The following is a 17,010-nucleotide window of genomic DNA, read 5'->3' on the forward strand; positions in this document are numbered from 1 at the left end:
TGGATCTTTCACTCCTAATGTGCTCCCTGAAATGCTAACGCATCATTATGTGAATGTGTCAATTACTGGTTTGACAAATGTGAAATCTGTATTTCTATGAAATTGTACTCATATTCATTTAAAAGAGTTTTAAAATTCCTAAAATATTTTGGAAAAGGAATTGAAGGCTCCATTTTAGTGGCAACACTCCACAATTTTGATTGAGTCGTCTCAGGACACTAACAAAGAAATAGCAGACATAGCAGACAGAGTCTTGATAAGTTTTTACCTGATACAAAAAGTCTGGCGCTGTTGCTCTGCCTCGTCTCTCCGGTGTATCGATGCCGCGTGATGCAGCGGTAGTTATACAATCCATCTTCATTCTGTACATCTTTAATATACAAGGCTCCCGTGGATGTGATGAGAAATCTAGATCCTGAAATAGAGGAAAACAGTGGCTTGGTTAAAAGACAATGAAAGCAACCCAACCACACAGACAAAGTCCTTAAACAGTTTTTTTTTTCCCCCACCTGAAGAAACTTAATGAAAAGGCTAAAAATGGGTGCGTGCGTCTGCGTGTGTGTGTGTGTGTGTGTGTGTGTGTGTGTGTGTCAATTAAGGGTCCAAGCTGTTTTAATTTTTTGACTAGCCTACATTAAGGGTTTTTAGTCCTTATGCTATACAATAAATATATACTTAGCAAATCTAACCTCATAAACTTTTTTTTAGATCATGCATTTATCTTACAGCAACGAAGTTGTCATATAATTGGTATATACCGAACACAGAAGATTTTCTTGGATCATTACATTTCCCTTAGAATGTGACAAATTAAGGGAATATTAACTTTTTGTTGCACATCTCTAGCTTATGAAAGTATAAACTTTTGCCTCAGTTTAAAATGTTTCAATAAAAGCACAAAAATATTAGACTACAAAGCAATAAAATATTCTACAAACTTCCCCTAAAAAGGCTGTCTTATTTCCTCACATTAATAACCAATATTTATCACTATATTCTATGACACATATCAATTCTTCCCAGATTCAGTGTTTTAGAATACTCTGTTATTTCTTAATCACTAATTTTTAAAGGGACTGTTCAAATCACTAACAATAACAATTTTCACCTCAAGAAAAAAAATTCATGATCAGTCATTCCCCATTATGTCAGCACAAAACAATGTCCTATCTGTAACCTCTAATTTTTACCGGTAAAGCTTCAGTTGAACAGAAAGGGCCAACATTGAGATCAAATATCAGTGTTAGTTTAAGAGGGCAAAAATGTTTTTTTCCCTTTGAAAATGTAACTTTTAAAGATATTTTTCGCTGTTCAATTTTAATTGGCTGATAAAACAAGTTGGAGCATAAAGGTAAAATGTAAATGATCATCGTAAGTGGATTCTATAATTTCCCTAAGATAATAAAATTTCTGGTCTTTTACTTTAAAAAAAAAAAAAAAGTAGAGCTGAGAGTGCCTCATTGCACCTTCCCGGTGGGTAACTCAGTACACCTCCTGCCACCGTTAGACTCTTCTATGGGCTATTTCTGCATGTGATGTGATTCCACTAGAAAGAATGTGATTTTTATCTTTGAAAAAAGACTAAAATGCCAAATAATCAACTTTTATTGCTTATTTTTCTCAGGTTCAGTTGAAACATCCTTTAGTTTATTTCAGTCAGAATTTCCAGGAGTCTTAGCTTCATTGCTTTTGAGCTTTACATATTTAAATTGTAAAGATAATTTCTTGGTCATTTTCTGCAGTAACTACACATCATGCATAGGTCAGTTTCTCAGATAAATTAAAAATGGTTTATGGTTTTTTTTTTTGAGATAAGGTCTGGCTGTATTATCCAGGCTGTGGTGCAGTGGTATCATCTCAGCTCACTGCAGCCATCACCTCCTGAGCTCAAGCAATCCTTCCACCTCAGCCTCCCGAATAGCTGGAACTATGGGAGTGGGCCATCACACCTGGCTAATTTTTGTATTTTTTTATAGAGACGAGATCTCACCATGTTGCCCAGGCTGGTCTTGAACTCATGAGCTCAAGTGATCCACCCGTCTTGGCCTCCCAAAGTGCCAGGGAGTGTAATCCCTCCCAAAGTGGGATTACAGGCATGAGCCACCATGCCCAGCCTAAAAATGATTTATGAATTATCATGAGTTAGGAGTAATTCCAAAGAACACAGATGTGAAAAAGATCATAAAATAACAGAGCAAATACTGACCTTGTATAAGCTTTTCAAAGGAGCGCAAATTAATTATTAAAGGTAGTATAAAATATCTTTAAAGTAATATCTATATTAACTTTCCAAACAATTCCAGTTAGACATTTAGTTTAAAATATGCCATAAATAATGCTAGCTATTAGAGAAGCTGAAAAATCTCCTAATGCTGTATATTCCAGATAATTTTGCTTTATTATTCCCCAAAATGAAAGCAACTAAAAATACCTTTTACCACTTGTCATGTGTCATCACACACCAGCCTTTCTTATGATACACATTGTGTATAATGGAAACATTATTTCTCTTTCAATATATTTTGCATACTTACATAATGCTTTAATAATCAGTTCCTTTAAAGTACAGTTTGATAGACAGAAAGGAAAGTCAAAAAAAAAAAAAGATGATGTATGTAATTCCTGTCACCTTCTTAGCGTGGAGTATTTTCATTAGAATTGATAGGCCATGAGTGGTGGCAAAATACAAGTGGGAAGGATTTTGTGTGCCATTTTCCAGAAAGGTTGAGAAATGCACACAGATAGCAGCAGCCTGCATTATTACTGATTCCAGAGAGGGCTCTATTCTCTAGGAACATTTTGTTCTTGTAATATCTAACATTTTTTTCGTTTACCCACTTACGTTAAATAAGGCTTTAGGGCGTATCATTTCAGAAGAACTTGAACCTTTGATTGTCTTAAGCATTTTTTGAGATGTTTACAGGAATGAAGGAGTTGACATTAACTGAGTTTCTGTGCGTAAACCCATTTAAGCCTAGCGTTTCATTATTGGAACGCTAAGCATGTGGCAATTATTTATTTCCTGCTGCTCAAGGTCATTGCCAAGGTCTGATTGCAAAAATTTAAAAAATTGCAACCTCAGGCATAAATGGGTTAATTTGACCTCCTTTGTCTAGTCCTTCATTTCTCAATTTATCTCATCTTGAAATTGATCAACATTTTAAAACATAAAATAAGGTTGAAAAGTAGGATCTTTTAATTATGAGAGGAACAGGTAAGTCCAGGGTCCTTGGGTACAGTCTCAACTCAGGAGTCCTGTGGAACTATCAAGGGACAACAAGGACACAGCTAAGTCATTAGAGCACCAAATATGTCAGCCCTGTGGTAACAAGGAATCATTTTAACTGCTCCCTAACTTGCCACTGTACCCCACTTGCTACCTTATGCCACCAAAGGTTTCCATGTCATATGGATTAAATGGTTTGTTCATGTCCTTCAATGGGATTAATGGATGTGCTTCTGTTAAAATAGGCAAATGTTTAAATACAATTTATTGGCAGCAAAAAGTGCAAACACACAATTCTGTCTCATTCTGTCTCCCTTTGTGTGTCTTTCTGTTTTATTTTCCTTGGAATACTATTAGCATTTTAACCGGACACAGTTCTAAAACATAGTTCATACTTTTTGTCATGTTAGACACACTGCAATTTAGAGCCTACTGAACAGGGAATGATTTTTGGATTTTGAGTCATCATTTTGGACATCGATTATTGAGCCATGCTGCTCAGTTACCAGAGGGATGTCTCAGAAGCTATGTGGCATCTCAAGATGCATGGAATGGTCCCAGACTGCCAGATGTTCAAGTCTCTGAGCTTGTCTTTATTAGCTTTTCTGCTTCCTCCTTTACTATCCAGCTGTTATATGTTACTTCCCTTTGTTATCAGTATCTTTGTCAACACACAGTGTGATGCATTCAGTATGCTGAGAGTTAGAAAACAGACATATCAAGGCTTTTAGGACTTTGTATAAACTAAGAGTAAATAGGTTATGAGCAAGTAACATAGTGGTTTTCCAACATCAGTTAACATGAGCTTACATGTTAGTGCCACTAAAATAAATCCAGCGCTTGGTGTCAGTTCAGTCAGCCTGGTTAAGATTAGCATAGGGGCCAGTGGGATATTTCTATGTAGGGACACAAAACTACCAAAGAAAATGGGGCATTAGCCCAGTAGGAAAATGTTGCAGAAACCCTCAGATTTGGAGTTCTACAGCCACGTTCTTCCCATTGTCACGGAGCTGAGCCGCAAAAAACACTCATAGAGCAGTGGGTTCTGAAACTCAGGCACAACACCATTTTGGGTTTTCTTCAAAGGCAGATATTAAAATAGCAGCAGTTCTAGAAATCTATTTTGCTGAACTATGGGTTGTTAATGCTGAAAGTCAGATCTTTAAGATCTGAGCCGCAGAAAGCAGGCATGCATGATCTCCAGAAAGAGGCACATCAGAGTTGATTCTAGAAACCAGCAGGTGTTATAGGTGGTCAGGAAACAGAGCCAAGTGATGCACCCATTCGTTGGACCAGCACTGTCCTAGGCTCCAGAAATGCAAAAAGGAGAGAGACAGCCCCTATCTCTAGGGAGCTTATAATCTAAACAGATTTGAGCCTTTGGGTTTAGGAACATCCCAAGAAGTTGAGGAAAAAGGATAGAAGGGAAGAACCTGGAGAGCAATCAAGGAAGTGGCATTGTCCTTGTCTCCCTGGGATGAAGGGGCTACTGATACCCAGGGAGGAAAACTGGTATTTATCCCCATACCTGCTTTTATCCTTGTGTGTTATTCTAATACAAATACTTAATTTTATATGTTAAAGTCCTCATCATTAATGTGCTTGTTCAATCTTCTCAGCTAACTTTTTCTTGTTCTTATGAAGAATCAAATTAAAAGATTTTCCCTGGTTTGAGGTGCAATAAGCTCATCCACTTTGAGAGATTTCTCAGTGTGGAAGAAAAAACCTGGGCTTTGGAAGCCAGTGGATCTGAACTACAAAACGGTCCTTGTCCCTTTCCAGCTGTGTGGCCTCAGTCTAGTCATTTAACTCTAAACTTTGCTTTCTTCATCTAGAAAAAAGAGAGATGATGAGTAATCTCTTTGTTCTGCTGTTGAAGATCAAATTAAAATGCATTTATGTCATCTAGCAGATAGTCATGCATCTACTGCACAGCAGAGTGACTAAGCTGAATAATAATGTATTCTATATTTCAAAATAGCTCAGAGAGTAAATTTCAAATCACAAAAAAAGGGATAAGTGAGGTGGTAGATATGTTCATCATCTTGATGTAATCATTTCACATCGTGTATACACATAGGTGTGTATATATAGACACATACAAAATCAACACATTGTACCCAATAAATGTATATAACTTTTCAATTGAAAAAAATATTAATAAATAAAAAATTAAATTGGTATCTATCCTAGTAAATGCCATGTTTGTTATTCTGCTGTTCTGGACAATCCACAGGTGTATAAAATGTAGCCTTTGTGAGCCAGACAGGGAAGATCCCACTGACATAAACATAGCAGGGCCCCCTTTCAATTGCTTGTTTGCTTACTTATGAAAGGCAACCGCATATATTAAAGAAAGCATCTGAGTGGTAATGATGTAGATGAATTTTACATCATAATTCTGCCATTTGGAGCTATTTCACCACAGGCAAAATATTTACTAAACCTCTGAGCCAATGTCACATGACAGAGCATTGGTAAACATAGAAAGATATACTGAGTCCATGGAGTATTTTTGTATACCCCAGTGAAAGGCTTGGGGAAAGGAGGATCACAGACATCTGCTATGAACTGAATGTTTGCATCTGCACAAAATTTATATGATGAATTCTTAATCCCCAATATGACAGTATTTGGAAATAAAGCTTTTGGGAAGTAATTAGGTATAGGTGTGATTATAAGGGTGGGACCAGACCTCACTTTCTCTTTCCGCCCTGTGGGATCGCAGTGAGAAGGCGGCTGTCTGCAATCCAGGAAGGGAGCCCCCATCAGGCACCAAATCTGCCAATACCTTGATCTTGGACTTCCCAGCCTCCAGAACAGTGAGAGATAAATTTTTGTGGTTTAAGCCTCCCAGTCCATGCTATTTTGTGATAGTAGCCCAAGCTGACCAAGATATTATCTTCAGAAGTCTTTTCCACAGTAGAAATGGATATTCACAGAAACTCAGGGACTTTCCCCAAAATCATTATCATGTTACTTGAACAATTCTCCCTGGCATATCTGTTAGTATCTGAGTATAAAAAAAATATCCTGAAGTTCTCAAAATTAATCATTTCTTGTCCATCATATTTTATCTAACAGGAAGGCCCTCTGCTTCTACCTCCAAAATATATCCTGAATCCATCCACTTTCCTCCCTCAACACTGTACCACACACATCTAAGGATTGTAGCTTTCAAACTCTCTGTGTCCACTTCTGCTTCCCTACAATTTAATCTCTATTCAACATGCATGAGCATTTAGCAATATACATCATTTAGTGCCTTGATGGAATCCCACTAGACCTAACCACTTATGATGGTCTATGATAGTTTGGGCTTTGGCCATATCTCCAAAAGCTTCCACTCCACTCTCTCCTTCTTCCACCATACCCAGGCCATGCTGTACTTCTTTTAATTGCTCTGACTGGAGGCTCTGAGCCCAGATCTCTCCCTGGATGGGTCCTTCTTGTCATCCTGGCCTCAGTTTTTAAGTCAAATTTCCAGCAAAGTCACATGATCATGGTCATTCATGATGAGAGACTTGGTTTTATTATACCTGTATGTGACGTTATCTTGTACATGTGCATGAGATTGGTTTAACATTTCCCTCCTTCATCTAGAATAGCAAGAACTCATTTTGTCTTGTTCAACATTTCATCTCCATTACATAGAACAGTACTTGGCTATGACATCCTAAAATATTTGTTGAATGCATGCATGGGTGGATGAAACAGTCTATTATTGCTTGTATTCAAAACATCCTTTCCTAGGTCTCAGTAAAAAGAAAGCTAAAGTACCTTTTTTTAGATTTCGGCACATTTCCTCATGTAGACTGCATAAAAAGAGTTTGTTCTCCTCCAGAGATGAATATATTCTTATATGAAAATGAGCATATTTTAAGATTGTGATGAATTATTCTTTCATTATGCTCCCTGGCTTTTTACTGTGTGGTTAAGCTGTTAGATCTTCAGTAAAGGCAATACTATTTGGGGGAAGATTTTAAAAGCATATGTCATTTTTCACTTAGAGAAATATATCTTAGAGCTCTTGTTGTTGTGTTTTTCCTATTGCAGTCTATATGAATTGAGTTAATAGCAATTGAAAGAAGAGATGGCTCTGCTAATAAGATGTTAAATGGTAGCACAAGCACGATGAAGCTTTTCTCAGCTGCGCCTGCCGTCGCCAATTGATGGCCACACTGTGTCATGAAACTCAGCTTTCTTCAAAGCCGTTTCAATAACAGTTTCTGAAATATTAGAGGAACATAAGAATTAAATCTAAGTTCTAAGTATATAGCATTAGAAACCACATGATCCTCTTAGCATTAACTAAAATAGAAGTGGAAATAGAAGATATATATATATCTATATCATATATATCTTATATAGATATCTATATATCTTATATAGATATCTATATATCTTATATAGATATCTATATATCTTATATAGATATCTATATATCTTATATCGATATCTATATATCTTATATAGATATCGATATATCTTATATCGATATCTATATATCTTATATCGATATCTATATATCTTATATCGATATCTATATATCTTATATAGATATCGATATCTATATATCTTATATAGATATCGATATCTATATATCTTATATAGATATCTATATATCATATATATCATATATATCTTATATAGATATCTATATATCATATATATGATATATATAAAGGATTACATGCAGGCATGAACGAGCTACAGATATTTCCTGAGCAATTGAGTTGCCAGATAAAAATATGCACATGTTGAAAGCTGCATATAAGAGAAAAGAAGAGCCCCCTAAAGAGAAGACATCTAACCTGACGTTATGAGCTGAATTTCCCCCTTCCTCAAAAATTTATGTTAATGTCCTAACCTGCAGTACCTCGGGATGTGACTTTATTTGGAAATAGGGTCAGTCACTGCAGATGTAATATCTTAAGATGAACTCATACTTGGATAGTGTGTGCCCCTAATCCAATGTGACCGGTGTGTCCTTATAAAAAGGGAAAATTTAGATAGAGACATGGATATTAACATGAATCCTAATCAGAGCCAACAGGTTCTAGGTGGAGGCTACCACTGCTTTCGGCATTATTTATGTTATGACACATTTAGTTCTTACAATGACCCCAAGAGGAAGATACTGTTATTCCCATTTTTCAGATGAGAAAATTGAGAAACAGAGAAGTTCAGGGACTTGCCCCAGTTTATACAACTAGAAGTATCTGTGCCAGGATGGTGCCCTGGCTTGCTGGCTCATGCCCTCACGCAAATCGCTCCCCTGGGTTTGGGCCATGGCACAAGTGTGAGACGGCAAGGCATGGGCAAGCGGAGGTACAACCAGAGTGGGGCAGAAGCCATGAGCACAGAAAGAAATTTAACCTAAAGGTTCAACAGAGCTGGGGTGAGGAGAAGAAGATGCCAGGTATTGATTCTGAGGGACCTATGGGGTTGGGGTGGCCTTGGTAGAACAAAGGAGTTGGGGTAGGGGAGATTCTGTTTCAGAAAAGATAAGAGCTCAGCTGTGAGCATGCTGAGTCAGTTAAAATCAAAAAAGTCAAGCTGCAGACAGGGCGTTGGAGACCAAACTATGCTTGTTGAGGAGAAGCCCTTCATGAGAACTGAAGTTTAGTAACTCCCCAGGAAGGGGAGTGAAGGAAGGCGAGTGAAGGAAGAAGGCCAAGAAAAGACCCAGGAAAGGAGTGAGAGGAGGCATGGAGGACACAAGCCAGTGTGGCGCTAAGAAAGCCAGGGGAGGAGAGGACTTCTAAAGGATGCTGCAAAGGGCCTCAGCTCCCTGCCTTCCTATTGCCATAGCCTTGAGTACATATACAACCTGTACAAAGGGGCAATATTGCCTTTTTGGGAAAATCATGATATTAAATAAGAACATCCATGTAAGAACCTGACAGAGAAAAGCACTTTAGAGTAGCTCTAATCTGTAATAAAATATGATAAAATATTCTTGCTGAACCAATAAAAATATTAAGTGTCTAAGAGCTAGAAATGCACAAAATTGAGTTAAAGAACACTCCACGTCATTACCAAATGACATAATAGAAGCCCTGGATAAATGAAGAGGCATATCCAAATCTAGGATTAGTCAACTTAATATTGCAAAAATGTCACCTTTTCACAAGTGAAATGAATTACGTTTTAATTAATTGCTGAACAAAATTTACTTAGAACTTGAACAAATCAATGTAAATTAAAATGAGAGATTCTTTTCATACAGGAGATTAGAACAAAAAATAAAATGTTTGAAAATAAGTGGTCTTGACAAAAGGTATGGGAAATAAAAACCTCTATAGGTGGGCATGTAAATTGGTGAAGCCTTTTGATTTTTGAAGGGCAACTTGCCAGTATATTTCAAGTGTGAGACTTGCATACTTTTCAATCCCTCTTGCAACGTCAAAGATTATCCTATGGAAAAACTCAGAAGTGCACACTTTGACGTTCACCCCCAAATGCACGGATGCATAATTTAACAATGAAAACTTATTTTTTTTTTTTTTTTTTTTTTTTTTTTTTTTTTTTTTTTTTTTTTTTTTTTTTTGAGACGGAGTCTCGCTCTGTCGCCCAGGCTGGAGTGCAGTGGCGCGATCTCGGCTCACTGCAAGCTCCGCCTCCCAGGTTCACGCCATTCTCCTGCCTCAGCCTCCCGAGTAGCTGGGACTACAGGCGCCCGCTACCACGCCCGGCTAATTTTTTTTGTATTTTTAGTAGAGACGGGGTTTCACCGTGTTAGCCAGGATGGTCTCGATCTCCTGACCTCGTGATCCGCCCGCCTCGGCCTCCCAAAGTGCTGGGATTACAGGCGTGAGCCACCGCGCCCGGCCAACAATGAAAACTTATACATAAACCTGAATGCCAATCAAGGGATAAATAAGTAAATAAATTAGGGTACATCTATACTCTGCAGTTACATAAAAGACAGTAAGGTATATGTACACATACCCTGCAGAAAAATCTCCACTACATAGTCTAAAGTGGTTACATAACAATCTGTAATGTTATGTACCAAAGGCAGTGGTATATGAATAAATTTGTGTATGCAAATGAACAGAGAGGCCTGGATCAGCAGATATCTGCCCAAATGTTAACTGTGGTTGCCTCTGAAATCATGAGTGGATTAGAGGAAGGGGAGGAGAAATTATGTTTCATTTCCCACTGTCACGTATTTGAGTATCTTAAAAGAAGACTCTATTAATGTGCTTCTTGGGTAGTTAAAATGTATTTTGGAAAAAGATGTCAGTGGGTGGTGAGCATATGGACACAGTAGACGTAAACCAAACCCATGTAACACACAACATAGAAGGAGATAAATTTAGGATGATGTTGCTGTCGGGAGTAGATGCGTCAAAGAGGGCTTTTATTATGCTTGCTTTTCAAGCTGGTCGCTACCTGGACTTGCCTAAAAGCAGAAGGGGAGACTTTCAATATTCACCCTGGTCTTTGTATTCCCTCCCCTCCAAATACCTCACACAAAAGTTGAATCTGCCATGTAGCTGATCTCTGTCTCTTCCTGAACTTCTGTGATAATTCCCCATTTCACACATAATTGCATCAGTCCAGTTGATTTGGGTGTCAGAGCTGCCTCCTCAAAATGGCAGTTGCCTCTCTGAAGACAAAGGGATCCTCTTGTTTGCCCCACTTACCTGCTGCCCCCAAAGGTTTGCACAGTGCTAAATTAAGTGACTGTTTAGAAGATATACATACTTCGAGTTTTTTTCTAAAAATAGGATCAGTAAAATAAGGGATCATATTGAGGGGGCAGAGCTCTCACCATATCATTTTATTTAACCTTCTTTGGAGCCTATTATGTTTATGAGAGTATCATCAAGATATCCAAGAAATAATGAAGCCCCAGCGTGGATCTTGAGCCGCCTGGAAGAAATCATTTGGCTAGAAATAACACCATCACATGGGGCATGAGGAATAAGCTTACAATTCTGCTGGATCCAGTATGTAAGGAGAGATTTGGTGTACATATTTTAAATTCTCTCAAAGCAATTTCACTAAGACATTTCTTTTATGTAAATAAAATTCTCTCAGTGAAATTCTCCTGCAGTTAAATGAGGCTCAATTATACACTACTAATTTAAGCCTGCATACTGCATTCCAACTGTATACCTAATTACCCTATTTAGTTTGTTAATGATCAGATCTTTGTGCAGATATTCAAGTCTGTCACTAATCTTTGCTCTAGTTAGATTTCTAGTTGTTTAAAATAATGAATCCTTAGAAAGAATATAATTGTATAATTCCTTTACTTTTAAATGAATCACTTCAAGAATTTTTTATTAAAGAACCAAAGAAGCTCGTAAAACTTATAAATTGTATTTATTTATTTATACGATGAACAAGATGGTTTTGGCCACTGACATTTGAAAGCAAATATTTCAGTTGGGAACACAGACAAAAAGAGTACATTGACAAAGAAAATAAATCCACTCTCATAAATGCATTTACATGAATTGAGAAACAGAAGTTGACTCTAGTAAAGAGAAGAGCTGTTTAGATGGTGGGGGTTTGGAGTGGGGTGTGTATGTAAGGATTTCTGAGGACGTGCACTTCAGCAGAGCCACAGAAGGTAGGAAGATAAGAAGGGATTATTCATGGATAAGTAGAGCTAAGAACAAGGTTAAAGGAAAAGTATGTTTGAGGCGGGAAAAACTGTGGCATATCCAAGGAACTGACACAGGATATGGTTTGAAAATAGAACTGAGGCCGGGCGCGGTGGCTCGCGCCTGTAATCCCAGCACTTTGGGAGGCCGAGGCGGGCGGATCACAAGGTCAGGAGATCGAGACCATCCTGGCTAACACGGTGAAACCCCGTCTCTACTAAAAATGCAAAAAATTAGCCGGGCGTGGTGGCGGGCGCCTGTAGTCCCAGCTGCTCGGGAGGCTGAGGCAGGAGAATGGCGGGAACCCGGGAGGCGGAGCCTGCAGTGAGCCGAGATCGTGCCACTGCACTCCAGCCTGGGCGACAGAGCGAGACTCCGTCTCAAAAAAAAAAAAAAAAAAAAAAGAAAATAGAACTGATAGGACATAGAACTCGCCTGAATGCCAGGATGAGGCAAAGGCGATGAGGACCAAGGTGGCTGCTAGGTCTTGGTGAAGAGCCCTGAACAGGTGAAGAGTCCTCCTGCCAGGAATAAGAACCACGGGGTGTGGCACTGGCTGTCCATGGCTGACTTATTTTGGACTTTGGGGAATTGAAAGTAGCCCTTTATAGAGATATGGAAAGGGGAAGGAAGAGAATGCTATTGGATGTGCTCGTTGTATCAGGCGGACTCATGTTTAGAAGAGGTACATCAGCATTATTTACTGTCCCACAAGATTTCTGCATTTTGGGGCTGGAAGGGAATGTGTATTTCAGGTTGACTGTCTGTTCCAGTTGTGGGTGCACAATACAGTGCTGATTAAAAAGCAACACATACAAAAAGGAAAAAATAAGTGAAGGAAGGTCAGAGCACGGCACTTCAACCCACAGTGACTATGCTTACCTGGTCTGTGTTAGCAACCCAAAAGGAATTTAAGACACTGGGCTTATTGGCAAAACACATTGAAAATTAACTGTAAAGTTTGTCTACCTGATACAGATGGCATAGGATTATGGGAAAGAATCTGGAAAAATAGGAACCACCATAAAGAATGAAACTAACACTATGTTGTGGCCACTTAATATTATGGGATAATGGTTTTTCACACTTTGGGTTCACCTACTAATAGGTTGTGAAATCAGTTTCATGGATTGCAGCTTTACTTTTTAAAAAAATGAAATAAAAGAGCATAGAATGTATCAGTGTGTATCAAATAGTGGTGATAAATATTCTGCAGCTTGTTTCAGTACACCTGTGCATACATAAAGTTATGTGTGTGTTTGTATATTTATGTGTGTATTTATGTGTATGCATTACTGAGTTCTAAGATAAAATGTCTTTATTCTATGTATCTCTTACTGTGAGTCAGAGCAAAAAATGTTTGAAGAGCCTTTTTCAACATCTTAGTGATGGAATTGTTACTTTTCTGACTAGGCTTCCGTTTCAAAGCAAGGCTAATCGTCTTTTAGCATCAGCTGGTATACCTTGGATTCTTAAAGTTCTCTCTTTAAATATTTCTGCATTTTAAATTAAAGATTCCTGCTTTAGCAAGTCCCCTAGTTCTTATTCCTGGTAGGGGGACTCTTCACCTGTTCAGGGCTCCTCACCAAGACCTAGCAGCCGCCTTGGTCCTCATCTCCTTTGCCTCATCCTGACATTCAGGCCAATTCTATGTCCTATCAGTTCTATTTTCAAAGTATATCTTGTATCATTTCCTTGGACATGACACATTTTTTCCCACCTCAAACACATGCTTTGAGACCAGCAAGTCTATAAGGCCATAGGCTTGGTTGCATTTATAATGGGAATAGCAGAGAAAGCAGTTTATTTTTTTAAAACTGCAACATCATTTGAAGGTCTTGGATTACATTTGTTTCCCAATGACACGTGATGATGTCAAAGGAAACTATAATGAGTTTACTGAGCTATCCATACAAATGTACATGCAAATATGTATACTTACAAGAACACGCAAGGGTAGAAACCATGTCAGATGCGGTCCCTCGTGTCACTCCCACTCCACTGCCTTTTGGTTTCAAATAGTCTGACCCCATGAGAATCTTTGAGACTGTCTTTCATGTCACAGAGCCTTGCACTGTGAGAGTAACTCAATTCCCTAAATGACTTCCCCAGATCTAGCTTATCACAAACTCCATTGCCTTGCAATAACCTTTGTAACAAAATGGTATTAATAAAATCATGTAGCAACTGCCCATCATATGCAGACCTAGTAATGGAATCCAAGTTACCTAAAAGGCTAATTCCTAATGAGAAGGAAAGGAAACATACCATAAAGTAAAAGTGCAAACAATTGCAAAACAGAGGCAAACAGTGTCAGTTGGATATACGTAAGCGCTGATGTAAAGAGAGATTGGAAATGATATATCTGGCTGGGCAGGTCACTCATGCCTGTAATCCCAGCACTTTGGGAGGCTGAGGCAGGCAGATCACCTAAGGCCAGGAATTCGACACCAGCCTGGCCAACGTGGCAAAACCCGTCTCTACTAAAAATACAAAAATTAGCCGGGCGTGGTGGTGTGCGCCTGGAATCCCAGCTACCCAGGAGGCTGAGGCAGGAGAAATGCTGGAACCCGGGAGGCAGAGGCTGCAGTGAGCTGAGATCATGCCACTACTGCACTCCAGCCTGGGTGACACAGCAAGACTCCCTCTAAAAAAAGAAAAAAAGAAAAGAAAAGAAAAGAAAATGATATATCCATGATGAATTAAAATGGAGTGGAACCCACTGATGGTATGCAGCTGATAAGACGCTATAGAGAAATGATATCCGGACACATGGTGAGACTTTTTCTCCTCTGTAAATCTCAATTCTTGTGATTCTTTCAAAGGGAAAGCCACAGAAGGTACCAGTTATCCACTCACTGACTTAGGTGCCTCCACTAGAATTCTCAGCACGTTTTTGCAGAAGTAAGTTATCTTCACTATTGCTCTAACACTTCTTAGTCTCCTTTTTCTTTCTTTTCTTTTTTTTTAGACAAAGGAAAAGTAAACCGCTGGTTTAGAGTCTTTGGAAGGCAATTGTATCTGACTAGAATTTAATATTATTGTTTTTCTTTCATTGTATTGCATTTATCTGTATGGCTAGTTAAACTGATTTTCCATTTAAAAGTAGTAATGCATTTTTTTATAATTACATTGTTTTAAGTAAACAAGAATTATTCAAAGGACAAAAACACTAGCACAGATGGCATTCAATGATTGCAGATATCATAAAGATAGTTCATGAATGACAAAGATTTGAGAAGTACTGTGTTCACGATGCTTCCTGGAAGAGGTGGGTTATACAGTGTTTCTTAGAGAAAGGGATAGGGGTCTACTGCTAGGAGGGAAAGATGAAGCTACTTAGGGGGACTAGGAAACACGCAGTTGGCCTGCCCTCTGCTTGGAGATCACAGCCAAGGAAACACAGGAGAGGCACCCCCTGGAGGAGCTCCGTGGGCTGCAGGGCTGACGTGGCCCAGGTAAGTGGGAGTTCAGGGAGGCCCACAGGTTGGTGCTAGGATAGTGGCAGATGATTTTCATTGTCAGACTGTGAGACAAAAGGTAGACATAAGGGAGGCAGAGGTGAAATCGGGATGGTTAAAACAGAGAATGCTGAGAGCAGAGCAAGGCAGTTGCTAAAGCTGTTACTAAAACTGGACAGCAGAAGGCCTGGCGTGGTGGCTCACAGCTGTAATCCCAGCACTTTGGGAGGCCTAGGTGGGTGGATCATCAGAGGTCAGGAGTTAGAGACTAGCCTGACCAACATGGTGAAACCCCATCTCTACTAAAAATACAAAGTTAGCCAGGCATGGTGGCCCATGCCTGTAATCCCAGCTACTCGGGAGGCTGAGGCAGGAGAATTGCTTGAATTTGGGAGGTGGAGGTTGCGGTGAGCTGAGATCGCACCATTGCTCTCCAGCCTGGGCAACAAGAGCGAAACCCCATCTCAAAACCACAACAACAACAACAGGACAACAGAGATGGACGACGGATCGGGAAAGCCAACCAGACAGCGTGAGGCCAGGACGGAAAGAGGCACAGGGAGCTCTGCTCAGTGTCGCTACAGGGGATCTCTCAGGCTCACAACGGGCCACTCCTCTAGGGAAGTTCTGGTCTCATCATGATCCTTGTTTGGTCTCACTCCCCATGTCCTTCTCTGTCCCTCCTCCAACTGCCATTTATTTATTTAACTGAAAAAGTACCAATCACCCACATAGGCATGACATACTCATCCATGTACCCATTTCTTAAAATTGATCATTGTTAACATTTGGTGTAATTTGCTTTATTTATTTTTAATGAAATAAATAAAACTTTACAGAAAATGCTTTATTTTTCTCTTTGTTCCCTCCCCATCCTATATTTTTCTCCTAAAAAACCCTATTATCAGAAATATTAGTGTGTATTCCCAGTTTCGACTTTTTATTTTATTACACACACACTCCCACACATAGCTGTGACAATGAACTTCACATAGTATGGTTCTGTATTTTCTCTTTGTTTTTCAAACTTACATAAGTATTTTACTATTTCTCATGGAAAAACTCACTTTTCCCATCCAACGTTATGTTTCCTTAAGATCTCTCTATGTTGATATAAAGAAATCTAGCTCATTCTTTTTAATGAAAATAAAGTATATTTTATGAATGTAACTCATGCTAACCATGGCAATAAAAGCTCCATCAAGCATGCATTTAGTTCTGTATTTTGTTCAATGCTGTATTCCCAGTCCCTAGAACACATACAGAGTAGTGGTTCATTAAATGTTTGTCAAATGAATGAATCAATGAATCCACTCATTTCACTGCTGACAAGCAGTAAAACTGACGTCAATTTTGCACAAACTTTTACAAGATTCCTCGGCACCCACATAAGAGACGTACTAATACGTCTACCTAGAAATATATGTATTGCATTGACAGAATTTGTGTTTTTGGTTTTGTGGGATTCTCTGAAATGCTATGTGACTTCTTAAGGGCTTGGCACATGCTGTAGGCTGTTAATGTGGCTGAGGGGTTTGGCTCTCACATGACCACTGCAGACAGGCTGTGTGCCACCTGCTCACTTTGTAAGCTTCTCGTCCCCCTCTGACAGCTCTTTGCAATGCTTTGTCTTTTCTTCAAAACTTTATATATATTTTTTTAAGAAGAAAAATCTGATAAGCCTTTGTCAGAAAAAAGT

General features: G+C 38.9%; 1 protein-coding gene and 1 long non-coding RNA gene across 8 annotated transcripts in view; one reads left to right on the plus strand and one right to left on the minus strand.

The window, feature by feature from the left end:
- Window positions 1–17,010, minus strand: part of DSCAM (DS cell adhesion molecule) — an 836,160-nt gene that overhangs the window by 357,832 nt on the left and 461,318 nt on the right. For 3 of the 4 annotated variants that reach the window (NR_073202.3, NM_001271534.3, NM_001389.5), the window contains exon 4: window positions 269–415. Coding sequence is in view for 2 of the 4 variants with exons in the window: in NM_001271534.3 (NP_001258463.1) it covers window positions 269–415 (147 nt within the window). In the remaining 2 variants the exon portion in view is untranslated. Of the gene's footprint in view, window positions 1–268; window positions 431–17,010 lie in introns of those variants that run through there. The other variant, XM_017028281.2, reaches the window with a different exon arrangement.
- On the plus strand, window positions 14,253–16,528 carry DSCAM-AS1 (DSCAM antisense RNA 1). 4 transcript variants are annotated; one of them, NR_038896.1, is made up of 3 exons: window positions 14,253–14,625; window positions 14,822–15,308; window positions 15,749–16,528. It is a non-coding gene; the product is annotated as a DSCAM antisense RNA 1 (long non-coding RNA). The 4 variants fall into 4 exon arrangements; NR_038899.1 differs by lacking the exon at window positions 14,822–15,308 and adding an exon at window positions 14,676–14,754 and having other exon boundaries at window positions 14,254–14,578; NR_038898.1 differs by lacking the exon at window positions 14,822–15,308 and having other exon boundaries at window positions 14,253–14,754.

The sequence above is a fragment of the Homo sapiens genome, chromosome 21 (assembly GCF_000001405.40).
Source record: "Homo sapiens chromosome 21, GRCh38.p14 Primary Assembly".
Lineage (NCBI taxonomy): Eukaryota > Metazoa > Chordata > Mammalia > Primates > Hominidae > Homo > Homo sapiens.